The 27,024-nt window shown below is 35.6% G+C and overlaps 1 protein-coding gene across 11 annotated transcripts in view; it reads left to right on the plus strand.

Moving 5' to 3' along the window:
• MALRD1 (MAM and LDL receptor class A domain containing 1) overlaps positions 1-27,024 on the plus strand; it is a 687,552-nt gene that overhangs the window by 227,612 nt on the left and 432,916 nt on the right. For 10 of the 11 annotated variants that reach the window (XM_011519453.3, XM_011519455.3, XM_011519454.2 and 7 more), the window contains 2 exons: positions 5,509-5,685; positions 8,481-8,643. In XM_011519453.3, the coding sequence (XP_011517755.1) occupies positions 5,509-5,685; positions 8,481-8,643 (340 nt within the window). Of the gene's footprint in view, positions 1-5,508; positions 5,686-8,480; positions 8,644-12,022; positions 12,510-27,024 lie in introns of those variants that run through there. The other variant, XM_047425168.1, reaches the window with a different exon arrangement.

The raw sequence follows: 27,024 nt of genomic DNA on the forward strand, positions 1-27,024 counted from the left end.
AAACCAGGAAGTGGGCCAGACACCACTTCTGCTGGCACCTTGAGCTTACACTTCCCAGCCTTCAGAACTAAGATAAATAAATGGCTGTTTAAGACACTCAGTGTGTAATGTGTTATAGCAGCCTGAACTGACTAAGACAATGGATTAACCTCGAGGACATCATGCTAAGCTAAATAAGCCAGTCAGGAAAGTACAACCATTGTAGGACTCAACTCATATGAATTATTTAAGGTAGTCAATATCGTAGAAACAAATGTAGAAAGGTGCTTGCCGAGAGCTGGGGGGAGGCAGGAAGGAAGGGGAACAAGTGTTTAATGGATATAGTTTCTGGTTTTTGAGATTAAAAAAAGCTCTAAAGATCTGTTGTACAACCTTGTGAATAGCCTTAATACTATTTACCACAATAAAAACAATTAGAAAACAAACATGAGAAAATACAAATTGGTACAAACTAGTATTCGGATAAGGGTCCCTCTGAAGGCATTAGTGAAGGGGTAGAAAGAGGAAGAATGAGGTCTGAGCTTTATAGAAAGGTTTTCTTTCTTTCTATTCTTTCTTCCTCATTTATTTGTTAATATAAGGATCTGAAACAATGCTATAATAACAATTTATTTAGTCTTAGTGGTGGAGTCATGTATCTATTATATAATTTTCTTAATTTATATGAATGTTTAAAGTTATTCATAATTAAAGTCATTTTTTTAAAGAAAAGATGTAATTGAATCTGAAGCAGTTCAGTCGATGTCTTCTTTGTCTCAAATGCAAAGTTATTGACACTCAATTCGCTGGGCTTCTGTCCTGCCCTGAAATGTTCTTCTCTTGAAGGAAGAATAATAAAATCAGAAATCGGCCGGGTGCGGTGGCTCACGCCTGTAATCCCAGCACTTTGGGAGGCCAAGGCGGGCAGATCACGAGGTCAGGAGATCAAGACCATCCTGGTTAACACAGTGAAACCCCGTCTCTACTAAAAATACAAAAAAATTAGCCTGGCGTGGTGGCGGGCGCCTGTAGTCCCCACTACTCAGGTGGCTGAGGCAGGAGAATGGTGTGAACCCGGGAGGCGGAGCTTGCAGTGAGTGGAGATCGCGACACTGCACTCCAGCCTGGGCGACAGAGCGAGACTCTGTCTCAAAAAATAAAAATAAAAATAAAATAATAAATAAAATCAGAAATCAGTAAATCCTAGGTATTTGTGACTAGAAGTGTATTATCGAGCAAGTTTAAAGTAGTACAGTCAGTGAAGAACATCATATATGTGTTTCCATTTAGCTGTTTATTGAAGTTTCTGTGTATTAAGGTAAGATGATTAATTGTAAATGTCTATTTCCATAAATATACATAATATACAGCAATGTGAAGAATAGGAAAACATGTGTGATCCACTGTTTTTTAAGACTTTTACTGTTCTAGTAATGTGTATTTACCCTGAGCTTGGAACACAAATTTACCCATTCTCTCTTGAAATTAACGCATTTCAAAATGGCTGCCTAAATTGGAGCATAGAACATTTTTCTCAGTGCAAATGACAGTCATCTCTGTGGAATTAAAATCTTTGTCTTAAACTAAAACTTTATTATCTAAATATGGAACAGACCAGCTTGGATGAGCATGTGCTGAAGTGAAAGAGCTTGACATCCTGCTTTGGTTAAAGGCAAACTTTCATTGAAACTTTGACAAAATACGTCACTTTCCAGATGCCATTTTTGATATAGGACATACAAATAAAAAGTTTACATGCATCTTCTAATGCATTTTAATTATATATATATATATTTTCAGTAAAATTATGTAAGTAAATTATGCTCTGAAATGGCACAACAAATTTAGCGATCAAATTAGATTATTTTTAAGACCTTGTATTTAAACATTTTAAAAGGATGATTTTCAAAGAAATTTGTTCCATATATTCCACTGAGACATATAAAATATCCATCAACCTGGCCATTGAATGTTTTGCAGTCCTCAGCAAATTCCCTCAGAAGTGATTTTTATAATCTCATTATAGATTTATTTGAAAATAATTTTTCATCAAGGCTAGCGAATTTTTCTTTCTCTGATTCAGACTCTGTCCTTCAAGATCTTCAAAGTCATCAGCATTCAAAAATGATAAAATGATTCCCTTTTTAATTTTTTTTCACGTTTTATTATAACGTTGGATCCGTCAGATTTCTATGGAAGGTAATAACTTTGACCTCTAATTGAGTTCTTATGTTTGTTCAATGAGTTAGACGTGAGTATATCCAACTGGATGTGAGATAAAGTTTCCAACCTGTTAGGATCTCCTTTTTTTTTGTGGTGTTGTCATTGGCTTTCTATTTTAGGATAGAAAATATTTCTTTTTACATTTATTTTATTTTGATTGTTTAATTTTTTATTTTTTGTTTGGGTTGGGGGGTGGGAAGGTGGGGTCTTACTCTGTCACCCAGACCAGAGTGCAGTGGTGTGATATCGGCTCACTGCAGCCTCAACCTCCCCAACTCAAGTGATTTTCCCACCTTAGCCTCCCAAGTAGTTGGAACTACAGGTGTGGGCCACCATGCCCAGCTAATTTCTGTAGTTTTTATTTTTGTAGAGATGAGGTTTCACCATGTTGCCCAGGCTAGTCTCAAAATCCTGAGTTCAAGTGATCCACCTGCCTTAGCCTCCCAAAGTGCTGGGATTATAGGTGTGAGCCACCACACCTGGTGAGAAAATATTTCTTATCCCTAAAAACTGACTCCTCTTCTATATTTTATATATCTGATCTTGGGGAATAGAATGCTCATTTACTTAACAATCTATTAATCATTTCAAACTCACCCCTAAGGGATCAGAATACTATTTCCTTGGTCTTAATCTCTCATGTAGACTGAGCTCTACCTGGTAGCCTAATATTCCTGGTCTCTCTTCATCCTCTTATTCATTCCTTCCCAGAGGAAGGAAGAGCAACAATGGATTGGTGAGTTTTCAAGAAGAATCTGAGTATGCATGCCTGGTCCCTCACCTCCTCTTTTCTTTTTAATGTTTACTAGCTGAGGAAATATGAAATCTGGTCAACTCTCCTTGCTATAGTTTCACACAGGGTAGCCTGGAAGACATAGTTCGGGGTCTTATTTCTGGGTTTCACATTTTAGAAGACCACTTGTCTACAGAAATAGGAAATTTTCTTCTTTAGCTATATCAATAAAAAGTTGATATTTTGATCTATCTTCAATCTTAGGTCTTAATTGCCTCTGCATTTGAGCTAAGAAATAAACTACTAGTTATTGGACTTTCCCCAGATTCCCAACAGCATGTAAATCCCCAGTCCTCCAGATACTGGACATTTAATATTGCTCAGATTTTTGCTCTTTCCTTTAAACCATCTCTGTTTTGGTTTATTAGTTGACTGGATTAAAGAAAGAGGTTAACTATTCTAACTATTATTTTTTTTCCAATGTTAGAGCAACCTACAATTCATGCTTCACACTGATGCCAAAAAGTGCATCTTGAAATAGACATTTTATATCTTGTTATTTCTCCATATTTTTGTGTGTTTATTTCAGACTCCCAGGTTGATTTCAGCTGGCTCTTTATGGTAACTGTCTGCTCTCCAGTTCCATATCTAATGAGTCAATCAGACACATGCTTATCATATCACAAGATATTATCATGTTAAATTCTCACAGTATTTAAAATAAAAAAAACAGTTTAATGTATTTCCATGCATTCACACAAGTTTTTTCTCATTGCCCATAAAGACCTTGTATTCTTTTTCACCTGGCAAGATGAGCTCATCAACCTTTGAAAGTTTAAGCATCAGCTTGCCACGGCATCTTATTTGACTCCCATCTGATATATGGTTTTCCTCTGTTTTCTTTCAATACACTGTGAAATCTTCCATTTGTTATTTTATTCATTCATCCACTCTGGTATTCATTCATCTGTCCATCCATCCATCCATCCATCCATCCATCCATCCATCCATCTATCCATCCATCCATCTGTCCATCTATCCATCCATTTATTCACTTGTCAATGTTAGTATACCTACCATATGCCATGGTCCATGAATTGTGCTATGGATGCAGGGATGAAAGATGCCATTCTTGCTTCCCTGGGGTTATATCTTTACCATAAATTTATCCCAAATACCTGTAATGAAAGATACATCTGACTGCCTTGCCCACTAGATGTAAACTATTTAATGGCAGAGATGGCATATTTGACTTGTGTTCTGTGCAAAAAATGCACGAGGAGAGAAGGAAAGACACACACACAATACCTTTAAGGGTAAACAAGCTTTATCCCACATAAATAGCAATGCAGATATAATAAGCAAATGATATAATAAGCAAATTAACATAAGCAAATTGATATAATAAGCAAATGATATAATAAGTAAATTGCAATGGGAAGGGGAGAAGGGAAAAATATATACATATTTACACTCACCAGACTATGGACGATTCACCACCAAACTGGGAAGCAACAGCCTGGGCTCCAGAGTTGGACACTGCACTCACCAGACAATGGAGGATTCACCACTAGGCCCAGAAGCAGCGGCCTAGGCTCCAGAGTTGGCCAGTCGTCCATGCACAGAGGAGGAGAGGTCTCATGAAGCTTCGGAGCAGCCTGGGACCCTAGCTCTTTTTGTAATGAGTTGTTTGGCATGAGGTCCAGTCACAAGGGTCCTTTGTGACTGGGCCCAAGGAACACAAAAAGGTTGACTTGTTTTTGTGATTGTTGTTGTTTTTCAATAACTAACATATAGGAATACATTGAAATAGAGATTTCTTCTAAACAACACTGGATGAAAGCCTGAAGGGGCTCACACAACCCGTTCTGGGACTTGGTGATCATTCTTTGTGTCCATGTTCAATTTAGTTCAGGTTTAATATTTAACTTTTTCTCCACAGCTTGGATTCCCTGCATCTACCACGTGTATGGCACAGACATGTTATCAATACATGTTTATTGAATAACTAATAAATCAGTCAACATCTATAAATGTCTTCCATCCTCAGTAATTTCAGAAATTGTAATCTTGTACAAAATTTCTAGATGAGGATTTCTGGTTTGACTCTTTCCTGAAACCTTGAATTTTAAATAAGTGAAAATATGTTAAACAAAGATGAGGAGATGTTAGATTTATTGTAGCAGTGGAAGAACAAAGGTTATTTACCTAGTAAATTAGAAAGTTATTTAGATCTTTACTCTGGCTCTTAATTCCAGAATCTGAAACTCCCTTGGTTCCTGCTGATTCTCTAAGCCCTGGCCTTGGGCCTCCCATTGATTTGGTGAGCTCTGAATAGCTTTCCAGTAATTTCCATCTGTACCATCATCATTTGTCATGATCAAAGATGTTTAGTTATTTACTGTTACTAAAAACAAGAACCTCGATTTTATTTTAGCAGAGTAGCTGATACTACCCACTGTTCTCTATGATATTGTGGGGCATATTTAGAAAGCTTCATTGTGTAAAATCTCTAAAGCAGTAGAAAACCAGAAAACCTGCTAAATGATGCCTGTATATTATTTCTTATCAAGGTAATTTGCCAGCAGACCTCCCAACTCCACCAGAAACGTCAGTTCCTGTAACATTACCTCCACACAACTGCACAGACAATGAATTTATCTGCAGGTCTGATGGTCACTGCATTGAAAAAATGCAGAAATGTGATTTTAAATATGACTGCCCTGACAAATCAGATGAAGCATCCTGTGGTAGGTGGATTCTTAAAATTTGTTTAAATACTGCTACAAAATAGAAAATGCAAGTGTAATCTCTAAGTAGCACAGCCTAGCATCATAGTTAGATATATTCAACATGAGTTAGAGCAACTTCTAAATGTAACAGTTATTCATACAGAAAATTGTAATGGAAGAATCAGAATGCATTTTCTGCCAGGCCCCGTAAGTGGTAAGTGTCTTTAGATTAACGTTTTGGATTCAAAACTATCGTTTTCACAAACTTTACTTGACTCTGGGAGTAGCATTTAGTAGCTCTTTCCATCCATTCCCTTTGATCTGTACTCCTCACACTATAAAATAGGGAATGTTTAGGGAGGTAGCTTTATAGTACTGTCAAATTAATTTATTCAAATTTTGCCATTGCCAAAATGCACATACAACATTAGTACTATTAAAATATGCAGAGTTCATGAGAAAACCTATCTTAATGCAAATGAGACCTTTATCCCCTGTGTCCTGGTTTTTACCTGCCAATTCAATGGTACCTGCCAATTCAATGGCTTTTCCTAAATGGATCAAAGACAAACTATTTAGTTTAAAAATGGGCTTCTCAGCCAAAGATACAGTCTAAGAGGAGAAAAATTAATCTGTGTCTTAATGAGCAAAGCATAAGATCAGAAGGGTAAACACTTTGAAATATCTTTCCCTTCCCTGTTCTTCATGGAGTAGCCTGTGAATTGACTGTACCATCATATTTCTCAAGTGTCTTGATAATATTAAGGGCTTAGAACAGACAGATAACACAGAGAGAGTAGTGAAACCCTTGTTTTATGTCAACCTTGTGAAGAAATTCTAGGACTTAAGAAATCCAGTGAGGTTCATATTTATTCTTTTAATCTAGAAAAAAATGTTTTTTAATGTACAAATACACCACCAATTAACTATCTAATCTAGACTAAAAAAGTCATAAAATCAAAGCTGACTCACTTCATGCATAAGATGAGACAGTAATTAACTCAAGCTAGCCAGGGATTTATATCATGCATCACAGATGGAAAATAATACAATGGAAGGTGTGGTGGTGTTCAGACTTGCTCATCGGAAGGCATTCGAATCCCCTTATGATCTTATATAAGTTGTAGTGTTTGTAAGAGTTTATACAAAACCTAATTAATTACACAAAATGAGTATCTTTAGGGAATACCGAATTTCCTCTAAGTTCAACTTTGCCGTTTTAGTGATGTCGTTTATGATTAGAGGGGAAGTTTTGATAAATTCTTTAAGTGTCCTAAATGAGTGCCTACTATTAAGTTATTCTTAGTCAAATAGTTTTTATAATTTTGAACAAATATAAATGAATTATTACCATTTTATTTATGAATAAACTGAGATATTGTCTCTTCCACCCTTTTGTAAGATAAAATAGTATGACAAATCTGCTTGTAAACTATACAGATTTTCTAACTGATTTTGAAAATTGTGATAAAAACACATAACATGGCCAGGTGCAGTGGCTCACGCCTGTAATCATAGCACTTTGGGAGGCCAAGGTGAGCAGATCAGTTGAGCCCAGGAGTTTGAGACCAGCTTGGCCAACATGGCAAAACCCCATCTCTACAAAAAGAATACACAAATTAGCTGGGTGTGGTGGCGTGTGCCTGTAATCCCAGCTACTTAGGAGGCTGAAGCAGGACAATTGCTTGAGCCTGGGAGGGGGAGCCGAGATCGTGCCAATGCACTCTGGCCTGGATGACAAAGTGAGACGATGTCTCCAAAAAAAAAAAAAAAAAAAAAAATGAACACATAACATGAGATCTACCATCTTAACAAAATGCTAAGGGTACAATACATTATGGTTGACTCTACTGTAATATTGTACAGCAGATCCCTAGAACCTATTCATCTTGCTTGACATGTTATATTTTCCGATAGTTCTATTAAAAGCCTACAAATTATATATTTTAAATGATATGAAGAACAGAGATATATTGGATCCTAAATCCCTTCACAAGATAAACAATTAATGTTTGTTTAGATTAACTAATACGCCTGAATGTCATGACTGAAAACACTTTTTTAAATGTTTCCTTTTCAGATTTCACATTAACTCATATACCCAAATTTCTAAATGGTCATAGTGGTATGCTGCCACTATTAATGTCACTTAAAAGCTAGAGTGCACACCAGGTTTTCTATAGTATACACAAGAATTTCATTGAATGAATATTTCTTTTTTATTCAGCAGTGGAAGATTTTAGACACATGAACACATTCGGAGAGAGAATTCAGATAACAGTTTTACACATAACCTGTACATTTTAAAAAATCGCTGGACCTGTAATTTCCTGTGATATTAGAATAAAATTATTACAAGAATCTGTAAAACTTTATAGGAAACAGGTCCAATATAAAAGTTATTGGAAACCTCGTTGCTTAAACTGAAGTTGGGAATTAGCAATAACCCCTTCAGAGACTGAGAAAAGAACAGACTTGTCAGAACTTGGAGATCATGCAAGCAATGAAATTGCTTAATGGAAGTGCTTAAATTGCTGCTTTAGAAGCTAATTAAAATCTCACCTCCTCATGAAACCAGATCATTAGTATATGTATTTTTTCCTATATTTTTTCCTATAAATATTTGACTAGAATAAACCTAGATTTCTTTGAAACTCTTCCAGTGATTTTACAAACCATTTGCCTAATTATTTTAATAATGTTTAAAAGTTACATTAGAATTAAAAACAAGAGTAAGAAAGTGCTGATTAAGATTGTACAGATAGAAACTGCCACTTACTAGCTCACCTTTTCTTTGTTCTACCCCATCCAAGTTATGGAAGTTTGCAGCTTTGAGAAAAGAAGCCTGTGTAAATGGTATCAACCAATCCCAGTACATTTGCTTCAAGATTCAAACACATTCAGGTGGGGGCTTGGGAACGGGATCAGCATTCATCATGGGGAAGAAAACCACAGGCCATCAGTGGATCATACACAGTAAGTGACCATGTATTTTGAATATCTCTCTTGGGAAATATTTATTAAGCATCTCCCAAATTTCTGCCCCCACCACCTTATCCTAGGCCAATGCTACTGTAAAGACAAATGTTAAGTTGAAAAGGAGGCTGTTTTCTTTCATACAAAATGGAAAAATTATCAATTAAAAAAGCAATGAATGCTCTTGTGAATTTCATAGAAACCGGAGAAGAACATGAATAAGTGAACAAAATAATTTAATATTATCACTCTTTGAAAAGCCCTGTTAGTATATTGTTTTTAAAATGATCTATGGATGTCTTGCCTCCCCAAATGTCTTTTCTCCTTCCCTTTTCCATCTCTTCCACCACCTCCTCCTCCCATTTCCTCTTCTTCAGCCTCCCTTTTTTCCCCTCCCCTTTCCCCTTTCTGTCTTCCTACTTTTTCTCACTCCGATGTGTATTTGTCATACATGTATGAACACAGGTAAATGTGCAGATTTTCAACATAGGTGAAAAGATTTTTCCACTTCTCAATAAATCATGCCATTAAATATTCATCATTATTTGCATTTCACTGTAATGACTTTCAACAATTTACTAATCTGTTCTCAACTTTCTCAACTAGTGGATTTCCCAGTTAATTTCACGTTATCTCAATATTATAAAGTTGCTTCAAAGAAGAAATAGAGTGCCTACTGTGTGAGAACGCTGCGGTAGGCACTAGAAATAAACGAGTGACTGAAACAGATGATCCTTGCTCTCATTAGGGAGACAGGCAGCAAGTCAATAAATAGAAAGCGCTGCAGATGGTGTTAACTGCTACACAGCAGAAGGGAAACAAGGAAAGGGTTTGTTAGTGATGGAGCATTTCTTTCTGAATGGAACACAAAGGGAAAGGCCCTGAGCCAGGACCATACAGGAAGACCAGCATGGCTGGGGTGGGATAAGAAGAGCAGACTACATAACAAATGTAATATTTTTCTTTATTGACTATTAAGGCTTTTGTCCATTTTGAACTTTTTTCACTTTTGTGAAATGCATGAATATTTTCTAGTGTTGTAAGCATGTTTGTATTTTACATACCAACTTTTTTTTTTTTTCATTATACTTTAAGTTTTAGGGTACATGTGCACATTGTGCAGGTTCGTTACATATGTATACATGTGCCACGCTGGTGCGCTGCACCCACTAACTCGTCATCTAGCATTAGGTATATCTCCCAATGCTATCCCTCCCCCCTCCCCCCACCCCACCACAGTCCCCAGAGTGTGATGTTCCCCTTCCTGTGTCCATGTGATCTCATTGTTCAATTCCCACCTATGAGTGAGAATATGCGGTGTTTGGTTTTTTGTTCTTGCGATAGTTTACTGAGAATGATGGTTTCCAGTTTCATCCATGTCCCTACAAAGGACATGAACTCATCATTTTTGATGGCTGCGTAGTATTCCATGGTGTATATGTGCCACATTTTCTTAATCCAGTCTATCATTGTTGGACATTTGGGTTGGTTCCAAGTCTTTGCTATTGTGAATAATGCCGCAATAAACATACGTGTGCATGTGTCTTTATAGCAGCATGATTTATAGTCATTTGGGTATATACCCAGTAATGGGATGGCTGGGTCAAATGGTATTTCTAGTTCTAGATCCCTGAGGAATCGCCACACTGACTTCCACAATGGTTGAACTAGTTTACAGTCCCACCAACAGTGTAAAAGTGTTCCTATTTCTCCACATCCTCTCGAGCACCTGTTGTTTCCTGACTTTTTAATGATTGCCATTCTAACTGGTGTGAGATGATATCTCATAGTGGTTTTGATTTGCATTTCTCTGATGGCCAGTGATGATGAGCATTTTTTCATGTGTTTTTTGGCTGCATAAATGTCTTCTTTTGAGAAGTGTCTGTTCATGTCCTTCGCCCACTTTTTGTTGGGGTTGTTTGTTTTTTTCTTGTAAATTTGTTTGAGTTCATTGTAGATTCTGGATATTAGCCCTTTGTCAGATGAGTAGGTTGCGAAAATTTTCTCCCATTTTGTAGGTTTCCTGTTCACTCTGATGGTAGTTTCTTTTGCTGTGCAGAAGCTCTTTAGTTTAATTAGATCCCATTTGTCAATTTTGGCTTTTGTTGCCATTGCTTTTGGTGTTTTGGACATGAAGTCCTTGCCCACGCCTATATCCTGAATGGTAATGCCTAGGTTTTCTTCTAGGGTTTTTATGGTTTTAGGTCTAACGTTTAAATCTTTAATCCATCTTGAATTGATTTTTGTATAAGGTATAAGGAAGGGATCCAGTTTCAGCTTTCTACATATGGCTAGCCAGTTTTCCCAGCACCATTTATTAACTAGGGAATCCTTTCCCCATTGCTTGTTTTTCTCAGGTTCGTCAAAGATCACATAGTTGTAGATATGCGGCGTTATTTCTGAGGGCTCTGTTCTGTTCCATTGGTCTATATCTCTGTTTTGGTACCAGTACCGTGCTGTTTTGGTTACTGTAGCCTTGTAGTATAGTTTGAAGTCAGGTAGTGTGATGCCTCCAGCTTTGTTCTTTTGGCTCAGGATTGACTTGGCGATGCGGGCTCTTTTTTGGTTCCATATGAACTTTAAAGTAGTTTTTTCCAATTCTGTGAAGAAAGTCATTGGTAGCTTGATGGGGATGGCATTGAATCTGTAAATTACCTTGGGCAGTATGGCCATTTTCACAATATTGATTCTTCCTACCCATGAGCATGGAATGTTCTTCCATTTGTTTGTATCCTCTTTTATTTCCTTGAGCAGTGGTTTGTAGTTCTCCTTGAAGAGGTCCTTCACATCCCTTGTAAGTTGGATTCCTAGGTATTTTATTCTCTTTGAAGCAATTGTGAATGGGAGTTCACTCGTGATTTGGCTCTCTGTTTGTCTGTTGTTGGTGTATAAGAATGCTTGTGATTTTTGTACATTGATTTTGTATCCTGAGACTTTGCTGAAGTTGCTTATCAGCTTAAGGAGATTTTGGGCTGAGACGATGGGGTTTTCTAGATAAACAATCATGTCATCTGCAAACAGGGACAATTTGACTTCCTCTTTTCCTAATTGAATACCTTTTATTTCCTTCTCCTGCCTGATTGCCCTGGCCAGAACTTCCAACACTATGTTGAATAGGAGCAGTGAGAGAGGGCATCCCTGTCTTGTGCCAGTTTTCAAAGGGAATGCTTCCAGTTTTTGCCCATTCAGTATGATATTGGCTGTGGGTTTGTCATAGATAGCTCTTATTATTTTGAAATACGTCCCATCAATACCTAATTTATTGAGAGGTTTTAGCATGAAGGTTGTTGAATTTTGTCAAAGGCTTTTTCTGCATCTATTGAGATAATCATGTGGTTTTTGTCTTTGGCTCTGTTTATATGCTACACAAATAAACTAGAAAATCTAGAAGAAATGGATACATTCCTCGACACATACACTCTCCCAAGACTAAACCAGGAAGAAGTTGAATCTCTGAATAGACCAATAACAGGAGCTGAAATTGTGACAATAATCAATAGTTTACCAACCAAAAAGAGTCCAGGACCAGATGGATTCACAGCCGAATTCTACCAGAGGTACAAGGAGGAACTGGTACCATTCCTTCTGAAACTATTCCAATCAATAGAAAAGGAGGGAATCCTCCCTAACTCATTTTATGAGGCCAGCATCATTCTGATACCAAAGCCGGGCAGAGACACAACCAAAAAAGAGAATTTTAGACCAATATCCTTGATGAACATTGATGCAAAAATCCTCAATAAAATACTGGCAAACCGAATCCAGCAGCACATCAAAAAGCTTATCCACCATGATCAAGTGGGCTTCATCCCTGGGATGCAAGGCTGGTTCAATATACGCAAATCAATAAATGTAATACATACCAACTTTTTATGTCTACCTCTTTCATCTTTATGTACCACATGTAACAAATTTTTATCACAGTGACTGCATGCATCTAGTCTAAAAGTGTCAAAGAGAATTGACAGTCATAATGACAGCTGTCATTCCTTCAGTAATATCAATCCAATTCCCTGGAGATATCCTATTATGTCCTAAGATCATTCCTCTATACTTTTCTCACTTTTATTAGGGATTGGTTATAGGTGCTAGTCCATATTTATAAAAGAATATATAGTCGTTTCTTGATTCAAAAATTTTGGCTTCCTCTATTGACATCCTATTAAGAGGAATAAAACCTCTATTTCTCTCCCCAAATTCCTATTTCTCTCCCTCCCATCGTTCCGACTGTGTATATTTATACACAGTTCTGTTTAAGTTATTAGCTTAGCAGTATTCTGATTCTTTAAATTTCTGAGCTAGATATTGCATGATGATTGTTTCCTTTGTTTATATTTTTATGTGAAAATTAATAGTTTTCTTATCTTTTTTTCTGTAGATGTTTTATGATCTTAATGTTCTTTTCCTCAATATCAGTTGCAAAATCAATTTGCATTCCCACACACCAAGTAGGGAAAATGATTGATATTTGGTAATGGTGCTGGGATATTTGATTTTTCATATAAAATTGCATACATAAATTTAAAAACTATACCATATAGTTTTGTGTAACTGTGTTCTATGATGTTGAGGTGAAGACAACTCACCTAACAATGCATTTCTCAGAACTCATTCCCGTCATTAAGTGACACATGACTGTGTATAGTTATATAGTTGTTCAGCTTGTTTTTTATTAGGACTTGTTTATAGGGAGCAGAATCTAAGACATAGGTGGAATTATTAATTTTACCTTGGAAGAAGGATATTCCTTGCTGTAAACAAGCAGGGAGAAAGAATGTGTTGGTACTGACTCAGATGAATTTATGAATTTAAAAAAATTAAGCAACATGACATGCAAAGTAATTTAATGGGTTTTTTCAAGTACCCATCTTTCAAGGCCGTGTCTTTTTTTTATTAGTTTTAATTATTTTTCTTTTTTGGAGTCTCACTCTGCCACACAGGCTGGAGTGCAGTGGCTCAATCTCAGCTCACTGAAACCTCTAGTTTTAATTTTTGTGGGTACATGGTAGGTGTATATATTTATGGACTGCATAAGGTGTTTTGATACAGGCATGCAATGTATAATAATCACATCATGGAGAGCAGGGTACCCATCCCCTAAGCATTTATCCTTTGAGTTACAAACAATCCAGTTACTCTCTTTATTTTAAAATGTACCATTATTATCGATGATAACAACCCTGTTGTGTTATTAAATAGGTCCTATTCATTCTTTCTATTTTTTATATCCATTAATCATCCCCACCTCCCTCCCAGCCTCCTGCTACCCTTCCCAGCAAAGTATTCATCCTTCTCTGGCTTCTTTTTCATGTGTCATTTTCTTTACATTTTTCCTTGTTCATTTGCTCCTCACATATACATGGTAATAATTATTTTAAGTAGGGATTTTCTGACCTCATTTTGTTCTTTGTTATTTATTTTGGTATCTTCTCTTTTTCTGAGGTTCCGTAACTAGTATCTTTCCCCTGTTTTGTAGTCCACAGTTCTGTTGTGTGCCCAAGTCCTGCGAGATCCCATCCTTCCTCCTCTCATTCTGATGATTCCAGGGAAATGTTATTGCAGATGCTCTTATATTAAAGAATCTTTTCAAAATCTTTATGCCCTTACAGCCCTCTCCACAGTTAAAACTTCACAACCCCCAGACTCTGTAGCTGCTGCTTCAAAGAAAACTAATGGTGTCTCTGCTGCTCTGTGTGGGACCTCCTTCTGCAGATGGGCCTTATACTAAAGAGATTCACAATATCTTTAACATCCAGTTATTTTCTTCAGGCTGATTTCCCCCCTCCCTGCTTTTGGATCTCTCTTTTGTCATTGTTTTTGTTCTATTAAGATGGCTCCAGTTTTTTATTTAATATGTTTTAATTTTTAAAGTTTTTTATTCAAAATTTTTTTCTTTAATTTTTTTCCTTGGGCTGCTTCTGACTCACAAAAAAAGCAAAGGACACTTACAGAAAGTTTTTGTGGCTTATATCAATAAACTACATCTTATGAATAATCTATAAGTCCATTAAGAAAAGGTGGACTAGAATTTCACATATAAGTGGTAAAGGTAGAAGTAGCAATGTGTCAAAAGCAATAATTTGTATTTCCGTATTTCCTCTCACCCTACCACTTTCAATAGACTGGAAATTTCCTAAGGAATCCCAGGAGCTGTGATTTCCCAATGTGTTGCATTATTTTCAAGTGTCTGGTGCATAATAGGCCTCAATAATTATTTGTTGAATGAATTAGTTGCTAATTAGCATCAATATATTTGTGTTTTATAATTATAGGCTACAGAACACAAAATTAACTTTTAAATCGGAATGCTTAATGGTCAGATAATATTTAACATATGTGCTCTACATGACAATAAATCGTGGAGAAGGGAACAGCCTCTAACCTTATATCTCCTCTCCTTTTCTTCTTTTCTCTCTAGGCTCATTCCTCAGCCAAGGAAGGCTTGAGATTATTTCTTTTCTTAAAAAACAGTTCTTATGCATCAGATATCCTACTCTATAGCTCATAGTAAGATTCTAAGTTCAGTTTTCCAAATTTTGTTTTTTGTGTTTGAAGGAAAACTTTTCTAATTTTAAATTGGCTTTTCTCTCTCAGGCATCTTGCTATAGAAATTTAAAGCCAGGTTTTTAAGGATGTTGTTTTGGAAATAGTTCTCAAGATTAGTTTTAAAAATTGGAAGGCTTTCTGTCAATTCTTTCTTGTCTCTTTCTCTGATCCCGGCTGTCTTGGAGACAAAGATTGCTTCTGGCTCAGTAAAGTAAGGATTATTTATAAGCAAGTATAAGAGAAAAAAACCCACAATAATATATTTCAAAATATTCTCTCGCTTTATGCACTTAATGAAACAATAAAAAGTCTAAAGAAGCCACAGTATGGTAGGAATATGTAGGGAAATTTTCACTGTGTAGTTGAGTCTTAGGCAAGGTCTTAAAATGCATATTTTTTACCATGAAAATGACATGACTACCTGATATTCTACTTTTTTTTGCATCCACAATTTAATGGACTATCCTTGGTACATCAGAAGTGAACTCTGTGATATAAATTTAAGATTGCATCTTTATTTTTTATATGTTTGTGGGAGAGTAACACCATTCCATACAGCTAGTTTATTAATTTTTACATGAATTAGAAAAACGCATCTCTTCTTGTAGATGGAGGCATTTTCAGCACAGAGTTCGGTGAGTGGATTCTCCCTTTCTCCTGCTCAGCAGGGCTCAACTGAGGTTACCTGGTGTGATTTTTCTAGGGTTGTAATCAAGGTATATGGAAATATTGCTCTCAACTATAATGCAATGGAAAGATAAAGTAAAAATCATTCAATGACAATATCATCAGTTGCAATTTACATGTTTTTTTGAGATTGGGGTTGAATAAGATTTCCATTTCCTTTAAATTATGTAGGGAAGGAGAATATTTAGTAGAAAAGTATTTTTCCTAGTATTTTGAGAAAAGAATCATAATCTAGTATTAAATAAAATGAGTTTGTACCCATTCATGCTCCAACAACTACTAAGGCAGTTGGCAAAATTGTGAGTTCTCTTCAGCTGAGAAATTTTTTAAAAAATTATTATTTGCTTATCATTGAATCAAGATACTTGGATCACCTAGAATCTGAGCCTTATAGTTCACATTTAAATATACTTAGAATACTGTATATTTGCAGGTCTTGTGTAATGATTCCTCTCAGTTTGTGATTTTATATGATCTCAGAGTCCTGTACTCTGACCTACACAATTAGTTTAATTGGTCAAGTCTCTTAGCCCAGGCAGTGTTTCTATAGTATGTAAACTGGCTCATAGCCAAGCACCGTAAGTTTTATGATCATTTTTATCTCATAAGAAAAGCCTTTATTTGATCCAATTCATTTTTATTGCTGGAATCTAGAGAGCAAAGTTTTAAGTTCTTGGTCCTCAAATACATTTTATTTCACTAAATGCCAATCTATTGGTTAAATAATGTTTAATATTAACACTTTTTTTAGTATAAAATTATTCCCTTAAGCAAAATAAAGTTCCTCACACTTCATTCATGTGAAATGATGTCTGGTAGAATACCTATGTGTATTCTAGGTCATTGGTTTCTAACTCTGCTCATAGAACCCTTGGGGGAAATTCTCAAAATGGAGATTAAAGACCACTGAAAATTTATATATAAATTTGCTTATACATTTTTAAATGCAGGTTCTAAAACCTTGGATTAAAATCTCTGGGAATGAGGCCAGGTGCAGTCACTCAAACCTGTAATCCCATTGAGAGGGGAAAGGTGGTTGGATCACTTGAGCCCAGGAAATTGAGGTTGTAGTACACTACGATCATGCCATTGCACTCCAGCCTGGGTGACAGAATGACACTTTATCTCTAAAAAGAAAAAAAAATTCATGGAATGGAGTTGGGAATTTGTATTTTTACAAATTCTAGATGCTTCTAGAATCTCACTGTTAGGGGCTTTCAAGGCAAGAAGTGGGGAAGATATTGCTAAAAGAGGGTCGCTTTCTCACCTAATTCCAATTTTGATCAGAGAAGATTCATTTTTCTCTAAATGTAATAACTAATTTAAAAAAACAAAATAAGAAAGAAAAATTGCTCTAAGGTCCTTCCATTAAAAAAAATAAAATTTGTGGGCCAGGTGCAGTGCTTCAACCTGTAATCCCAGCACTTTGGGAGGCTGAGGCGGGTGGATCACTTGATGTCAGGAGGTCAAGACCAGCTTGGTCAACTTGGTGAAACCCCATCTCTATTAAAAATGCAAAAAATTAGTCATACGTGGTGGTGCGTGCCTGTAATCCCAGTTACTCAGGAGGCTGAGTCAGAATAGCTACAACCTGGAAGGCGGAGTTTGCAGTAAGCCGAGATGGTGCCACTGCACTCCAGCCTGGATGACAGAGCAAGACCGTCTCAAAAAAAAAAAAAAAAAAAAAATCAAATTTGTGTGTCCTAAAGGAACTATTATAATTGTAAAATAGTTTTGAGGGAAAACTCTACCCTGAGTCAGTCTAAAAAACATCATTTCAAGGCCCCCTTTGGCTTGCTTCATTTATTGTACAATACACAATGTTTTTTTCTGTCGTTTTTGCATACATGATCTCTTCTCGGTCTAATCAAAATTACCTTTGTCTTTCTGTTGGATCAAAACAAAAACACACATACCAATCTCATGATTACCTGGAAGTGATGGATATTTTAAAATGTTGTGGATTTGCTTAAAATGTTAGAACTTGCTTACAGGTGGTTGAGAAGCTATTTGTTTGAATATACACTATCTTGAAAAGTAGAAGTACCCAGATTTAAAAAAAAACACTGATCGTTATCTTTCAGTTGGAAATGAGTTATGGTCCCCACTGCTGCTCATGCACCTGCTTTCCTATCTGTATTATACATTTGTGCAGATTTGACATCATGATAAACTAAAAGCCACATAAATAATGCAGGCCGGGCGGGGTGGTTCACGCCTGTAATCCCATCACTTTGGGAGGCTGAGGCGGGCGGATCACGAGGTCAGGAGATCGAGACCACCCTGGCTAACACGGTGAAACCCCGTCTCTACTAAAAATACAAAAAAATTAGCCGGGCATGGTGGCGGGCGCCTGTAGTCCCAGCTACTCGGGAGGCTGAGGCAGGAGAATGGTGTGAACCTGGGAGGCGGAGCTTGCAGTGAGCCGAGATCACGCCATTGCACTCCAGCCTGGGCAACAGAGCGAGACTCTGCCTCAAAAAAAAAAAAAAAAAAAAAAATGCAAACTATGTCCCTGTGACACTAACTCTGTGTATCCTTCTATATCTAGTGCTGGATATGAATGTGGATAAAAGCTTCAGTGAAGAGAAAATATTATAATTTTTTTCTGTAACGATAATAATTTTCAAAGCTTTAGTCCCTTAGACAGTAAATACCAGAATTATTGCCTTCTCTGGTAAGAAGATAAGCCAATATTTTATAGGCCAGTTTAGAAGCCATAACATTCTCCCAGCATAATTTCTAACAGATCAAGACTTTTAACTAAAATAATGGTTAAATACCAGTCCTTAGAAACAGTTTTAGTGCAATAAAAAGCAAGTGGTGCAAACAGCTGAAATTTAAATCAACTGTAGTTATATATACATATATTTTTTTGCCAAGACACCAAATGCAAGTATGTAGTTATTTTCTTTTAACTGTTTTGATACTTGTTGTCAAGCAGCATTCTGGCAGTATTGCCATAGGACTGAATATAAAGCACAATTATCCCTCTAAACACACAAAACAATGTCCTTATTTTAGATTGTCCTTGAGTTAAGGATCTATTATTTGCATTTTCATATATATCAGTAATTTGTTGTGCGCAAGTAAATTAAATCACTTTAATTTTGATTTTATTCAAAGATATTTTATCTGGATAATTTTTAAAAATTAACTAGAAAAGAACGAGATCATGTCTTTTGTGGGAACATGGATGGATTTGAAGGCCATCATATTTAGCGAACTATAATGCAGGAACAGAAAACCAAATACTGTATGCTCTCACTTATAAGTGGGAGCTAAATGATAAGAACTCTTGGACGCAAAGAAGGGAACAACAAACACTGTGACCTATTTGAGGGTGGAGGGTGGGAGGAGGAAGAGAACCAGAAAAAATAACTTGGGTACCAGCGTTATTACCTGGAGGATGAAATAATCTTTACAACAAATCCCCGTTACATGAATTTTACCTATGTGACAAACCTGCACATGTACCCCTGAACCTAAATGTTTACAAAAAAACGAAATGCAGTCGCTTGAGGTACATGGGATTTAAGAGAAATTTGTGCTGAAAATATACGAACCATATCTAAAATGACACAGAGAGTGAGTGGTTAGGTAGCATACTTGCTGTACAAGGTAAAGTTTTAAGAAGGTAGTCATAAAAAGGTCTATAAAATTATGTTACCAAAGATCACAGCATTTTTGACTAATAATAAAATAATAACTTTTATATCTCGTTTACAATTGCATTCAAAAATTAAAAATTCATTTTCATTATATAATCTTTAAATATGCTTTTCCTTTAACCACATTAAAAAGAAATAATTGTACTTACATTCTAACTCCTGTGAAGAATTGTTATAATTGCCCCCAAAATTTGTAGGAAAAACGTTTCCCAAACTAAGTGAAGGTAAATTAGACTTGATTCCCTGTAGTGAGGCAAGAACTTGAACAAATGAATATGCCATATGAAATATGAATCATTTTTATGACATCAGTATGCTCTTGTGACATAGTGATTTATGCAGATATATCAATTACTCAAATCAAACATTTTTATTGCCTAAAAGATTCATAGATTGTATTGACTAGGCATACCATTTATCCTTAACATTAGTCATATGTTTCCTGAGCCCTACTCTGTGAGAACAGAAAACTGTAAGTAGATGTATAAAACCCAGCAGAAAGTTTTACTTACTGAAAGAGTGGTCCACTCAGGTAACGACCTGTCAGGACTGTGTGCTTGGTTGTATGTCTGTCTTTAAAGATACCCAAGGCATTCTCTATCTTTGGATTTTGTTGGATAATATAAGTTAACTAAAATAATACAATGGGTAAAAACCATACACTGTTAAGAATTTCTTAGCTTTTTTATTGCTACAAAATTTCTTTTTTTCACTATGGAAAGAAAAATACAGTTTTATTTTAGAAAAGTGTTTAGATATAGATAAGAAAGACAATACATTAACCATAATCCTACTATCATGATATGGACATTATGCATATAAGCATATATATTTTTAATAAATATGCATTTATATTGACCATACTGTTTTTGACTATGGTTTTAATTTTGTTTGCAATCTGTAATCATCTATTTATTAATATTTTTATGAGTCAAGAGTATTCCATTAAGTGAATGTACCAAAATTTACTAATTCAAGTCATCACTGTTATTAGTTGCTTTTGGTGATAAACAATTTTAATCAATCTTCGTTGAACAATGTATAGCTTTGCCACATGTCACATCATGTACTGAAAGGAAAATGAAACCATACACAGTAGAATTTTGTGTTAATTATTATTATTATAAATTATTACAAATTATTATTCGTAATTTAGACATTTGATAAGTCTCAATTACTCCTCAAAAATGTACCACTTTTGCAATCAGTTTATGAGATGTCTGTCTTTCTATGTGCTTGCCAACACTGAATATGTAAGTATTTTTTCATATTTTCTAATTTGACAAGTTAAAATAGTATCCAATTGTATATATATTTTTATGTCTTTGGTACTAATGAAGTTCACCATTTTTTATGCCTTGCCCAAGTATGTTTTGGGTGTGTGTGTGTGTGTGTGTGTGTCCTGTTTGTGCCCTTGGCTTGGTTTGAAGTGTGCAGTCAGAAGATAATAGATGTTTATTAAATATTTATTGTGATATTTGTATGTAGACAGGTTTGAGAGAAAAAAGCTGGAAGTTAAAAAATTAATTGAAGTAATTGAACAGGTTTTATTGGCATAAACCAGACAGAAAGAATAGTTTTGCAAAGGAAGGATCTTTCATGTGTCTCCTAGACCTCAAGCTCCAGGAAGGTAGAAAGGAGGCTATTTTGTTCAACACTGTAGCCCTAGTACCTAGCAAAGCACATTCCACCTGTGCTGTATTCTCAAGCACATCAGAATTGCCTGGAGATTTGTTAAAACACAGGAATCTTGGGCTCATTCCAGAGTTTCTGATTTAGTAGGTCTGGGGTAGACCCTAAGAATTTACATTTTAAACAAATTCCCAGGTGATGCTGATGCTACAGATGTGGGAACCTCACTTTGAGGACCACTTAGTCAAGATCTGGTTCTTGAAATTGGCAGCACAGTGGAATTACTTGGAGGCAGTGTTGAAACATACTGATACCCAGGCCCTGTTTCATTCAATGAAATCAGAATCTTGATGGTGGACATGGTTGTATTTTATAAAGCACTGCAAGGGTGGGCCGCCAACTCTTGGGAAACAGCCATCTATACTAGGCAGATAACTTTAAACACAGTTCCAGGGAATATTTCATGCTCCAAAATATAGTTTCTTCATAACTTTTTCACCTGTTACCTTTTTGGATATGTGCTCACCTGACTGTACTTTTGTTACACTTTTTCCTCAAATGTAATTATTTCCTCTGCCAGAATTACAGTCCTTTACATTCTAGTGTTTTTATTTATTAATATTATTTTTTTGGCTGACAGTTTCTTATTTGGCAAGTTGATAGTCTGACTTTCCTAGCTATGTGTTTTATAAGAGGAGCAAGCAGGCTTTGGCATGATTTTTCCAGTTTGGAAAAATATTGCTGTCTTCATCATTTTGTGGGGAAAATTTCAGGAATGATAAATTATTCTTAAATAATTGTTATATATCAAAATATTTTCTGGAGGTTTTATCAACTTTTCCTCAGCACTTAAGTGTTAAAAGGAAATGGATTTAAGGCATATGCTTACTATAAAGAACTGCACTATCATTTCAAGATAAGTTGGGACTGGTTTATGAAGGACACATTTAAATATCTTATTGGCTATTCATGTATTGATTTATTGAATTGACATATATGAGTATTTGTTATATAAAATAGTCTGTTGGAAGTCCTTCATTATGCATTGTACAAATGTGATTGAAGCAATTGTTAATTATGTTATACTTGTTCTCTTTGAAAAGACATTTGTGAGAAATTAGTTTGCAGTCTTTTATGAGCACATGATGTAATTTTAGTGAAGAATCAGTTTGTTTTTGTGTTTTCATAAGGCTCTCATGATTATTACTAATTATGTTTTCTTCCTCAGATTGGCTCATAGAAAGCTTAGAACCAAATTTTTCATATGTTGTTAGTAAGTCTGTGAAATTTCTATAATGCCTTTTGTGATCTACTTTTATCCTTGATTCCATTTAGTGCCTCAACTCTTTTCTCTTGGTATTATCTTTATTTATATATAAATATATATATATTTGTGTGAGTGTATCTTTTAGTTTATTATATTGTACTGTATTTCATGTGTTTTTGAGAATAAGATGAGTTTTAAGTAAACAATAAAATTAAATTTTAAAAGTATAAGCATTATTAATGATCTCATTAGAAATATACAAGTTCTGTGAACTTTGTTTTAATTGAAATAATTATTTACTTATAATTGTTTTCACTTTATGAACTAATTTTCTCATTCACTGTAAAATAATTTAAAACAGTTAATTCTATAATCATAAGATTAAAAGAGGGAGTATATATAGATTGGGTTTTCTTTAGGTAACTAAAAAAATATTTAGACATTTTATTAGTGGCACGACGGTAAGAGTAGTGCAGTTTGTGGAATAATAAAGTTTGGGGTAAGAGTATAGATCATCATGGCTATTTTTAAGACTTTTCTTTATATATATAGTTACACTTTTATAAGAATGTAGTGGCTGCATACCCTGCCTCATAAATGTATAAACTATATTTATAGCATTATTTGTATGCCCTATGAAATATTACTTTCGAAGGCATGTTAAAATGCAATTTTATAGCTATTTTGCATACAAGATATGAGAAATATTTTATGCAAGTAACAGGGGATGCAAAGATCTTTAAATTTAGATTTAAAAAACTGTGTCATTTAAAACAAAGTAAGGACCCGAAAGAAGATACAAAGTATTCTATGGGAACTGAAGAGAGAGGCTTCATATCCAGAAAGGGAAAAAAAAGGCATTATGGGAAAGGTAATTTTTGAGTTGGCTGTAAAGCATTGCATAGAATTTCATCAAGCAAAGCGATGGCTACACCCAACATGGGGAAATAATAAATGATTATTTTATTATATAAAATCTTAGTGTCTAAGAGCAACGGCTTGGGAGTTGTCTTCATCCATTTTGTGTTGCTCTAAAGGAATACCTGAGACTGAATAATATATAAATGAAACAGGTTTATTTAGCTCATGGTCTGCAGACTGCACAAGAAGCATGGTGCCCGCATCTGCTCAGTTTCTGGTGAGGAATTTGTGCTACATCAAAACATAGCAGAAAAGGCCAAAGGGGAAATGGGCACATGGGAAGAAGGACCAAGCCTAAGAGGCTTCCTTGCTTCATAACGACCCACTAATCCCTTCCCCACAAGAATCAATCCAGTCTCCTGAGAGTGGGAACTCACTACTGCTAGAAAAGCACAAGCCATTCATAGATAATCAGCGCCCATGACCCAAATATCTCCTGCTTCACCTCCCAGCACTGCCACACTGGAGATCAAATTTCAACATGATATTTGGTTGGAATGGGACAAAGGATGTGATTTACAAGAGAACTGATAGGAAAGACAAGAAGGATAGGAAAGGAAACAAGGGGAAACAAAGGGAAAGAAAGGGAAGGGAAGCAAGGGGAAAAGGGAAAGGGAAATCTAAGGGGAACATGAGAGAGAGACTATAGGAAATTATTAATGTCAAATGGGTAACGTCACGACTGAACTGTAAGAGAAGAGAATGACTGTGGAACCTTGGAGAGTGCCTTTTTAAAAAGCATCAGCAGGACTAGAAAAGAGACACAAGAATGTGTCTTGGCGGAGAGGTACTCAGCACCTTAAGATGCTCAGCAGCATGAGCGGGTGAGAAGTTAAGAGTGCAGAGTTTTGGCTCACAGGAATAGAAAACCTCAAAGCACAACTTTAATCAGTTCACTCCATATTTAAGATGTTTTGCTGGGAGACATTTTGCTGGCCAGAAGTCAACGTTTATCTTCTTAGGGAGGAGATAACATCATCCAGACCCTCAAATCCTTTGCGTAGTTCCAGGCACAATGTATCAGAGAAAAAAAAATCAAAACTAGAATTCTATACCTGGTAAAAATATTCTTCAAAACTTAAGACAAAGACTTTTTCAAACAAATGAAACCAAGAAAATTTGTCATCAGCAGGCTTCTACAAAAGAGATGTCTACAACCGGAAGGAAAACAATCCTAGATAGAAATAAGGAATGCATTATTGAATGAAAAGCTGACAGATAAATGTACAAATTAATTTAAATGAATATAGGCTATATGAAATAATATTGATGGACTTATAATATGTAAATCATATATTGATTAAGATACACAAAATTAATAGTATAAAAAGCAGTATAAGGGGGCGCTTCACATGATAAGTGCCTTGGGAATTCTGCTTCTCCATAAAAACTGGCAAAAGCTATCAAATACAAAGTAAAGGGGTGGAGAAAGATCTATCAAATAGAAAACAATAGGGAGCAAGTGTTGCTAGTCTAATTTCAGACAAAACAGATTTTGAGCCAGCAATGATCAAAAAGGACAAAGAAGCGCATTAGATAATAAAGGGTACAACTCAACAAGAATCTATAACTATCCTAATTATATATGCATCCAATACTGGAGCACCTGAATTCATAAAACAAATTCTTAGAGACCTACAAATAGACTTATACACAGTATACACAAATCAATAAATGTGATGTGATTCAGCATATAAACAGAACTAAAACCAAAACCTACATGATTATCTCAATAGATGCAGAAAAGGCTTTCCATAAAATTCAACATCTCTTCATGTTAAACCCTCAACAAACTAGGCACTGAAGGAACATACCTCAAAATAACAAAAGTCATCTATGGCAGACGCACAGACAACATAATGAGAGGACAAAAGCTGGAAGCATTCCTCCTGAGAACCAGAACAAGACAAGGATGCCCACTCTCGTCACTCCTATTCAACATAGCTCTGGAGCCTTAGCCAGGGCAATCAATCAAGAGAAACAAATAAAAAAGGCATCTGAATAAGAAGAGAGGAAGCCATACTATCCTCTTTACAAACAATGTGATTCTATAACTGGAAAACCCCGGAGGTTCTGCCCAGAGGCTCCTGGATTGAAGAAACAATTTTAGCAAAATTTCAGGATACAAAATCAATGTACAAAAGTCAGTAACATTTCTATATGCCAACAACATCCAAGCTGAGAGTCAAATCAAGGACACAGTTCCATTCACAACAGCCACAAAATGAACAAGATACCTAGGGATGCAGCTCACCAGGCAGGTGAAAGATCTTTATAACAAGAATTACGAAACACTTCTGAAATAAAACAGAGATGACACAAGCAAACGGAAAAGAAATTCATGCTCATGGATAGGAAGAATCAATGTTAAAATGGCTATACTGCCCAAAGCAATTATAGATTTAATGCTATTTCTATCAAATTGTCAATGACATTTTTCACAGAATTCAAAAAACTATTCTAAAATTAATATGCAATCAAAAAAGAGCCTGAATAGCAAGAGCAATCCTAAGCAAAAATAAAGCAGGAGAAATCATACTACCCAATAAACTATATTACAAAGCTACAGTAACTAAAATAGAATAGTGCTGTGACAAAAATAGACACATAGACCAATAGAAGAGGTTAAAGAACCCAGAAATAAAGCTGCACACCTCCAACCACCTGATCTTTGACAAAATTGACAATAAAAAGCAATGGGGAAAGGACTCCCCTAGTCAATAAACAATGCTGGGATAACTGGCTAGATATACACAGAAGATTGAAACTGGACCCCTTCCTTACTCCATATTCAAAAACCAACTCAATGTGGATTAAAACACTTAAATGTAAAACCTAAAACTATAGAATCCTTAGAAGAAATCCTAGGAAATACTATTCTGGACATATACCCTGGCAAAGATTTCATAAGCAGATGCCAAAGCAATGGTAACAAAAACAAAAATTGACAAGTGAGACCTAATTAAACTAAAGACCTTATGCACAGCAAAAGAAGCTATCAACAGAGTAAACAGAAAATCTATAGAATGGGAGAAAATATTTGCAAACTCTGCATTGGCAAAGGCCTAACTTCCAGAATCTATAAGGAACTTAAAGAAATCAATCAAACACACAAAACCAAATAATCCCGTTAGAAAATGTGCAAAGGACATGAGCAGACACTTGTCAAAGTTACACATATAGGAGCCCAACCAGCAGATGAAGAAATGTTCATCACTAATCATTAGAGAATTGCAAATCAAAATCACAGTGAGATACCATCTCAAACCTGTCAAAATGGCTATTACTAAAAAGTCAAAAATTAACACAGGCTGACGAGGTTAGGGAGAAAAGTAAATGCTTATACCCTGCTGGTGGCAATGTAAATCTGTTCAGCTGTTGTGGAAAGCAGTGTGGTGATTTCTCAAAGAGCTCAAAGCAGAATTACCATTCAATCCAGCAATCCCATTATTGAGTATATATCCAAAGCAATATAAATCATTCTACCATAAAGACACATGCACTACATGTGTGTTCATGGCAGCGCTGTTCACAATAACAAAGACATGGAATCAACCTAAATTCCCATCAACAGCAGACAGGATAGAGAAAATGTACATATATACAGCATAGAACACTATGCAGCCATAGAGAAGAATGAGATCATGCCCTTTGCAG

The sequence above is a fragment of the Homo sapiens genome, chromosome 10 (genome assembly GCF_000001405.40).
Source record: "Homo sapiens chromosome 10, GRCh38.p14 Primary Assembly".
Taxonomy (NCBI): Eukaryota; Metazoa; Chordata; class Mammalia; order Primates; family Hominidae; genus Homo; species Homo sapiens.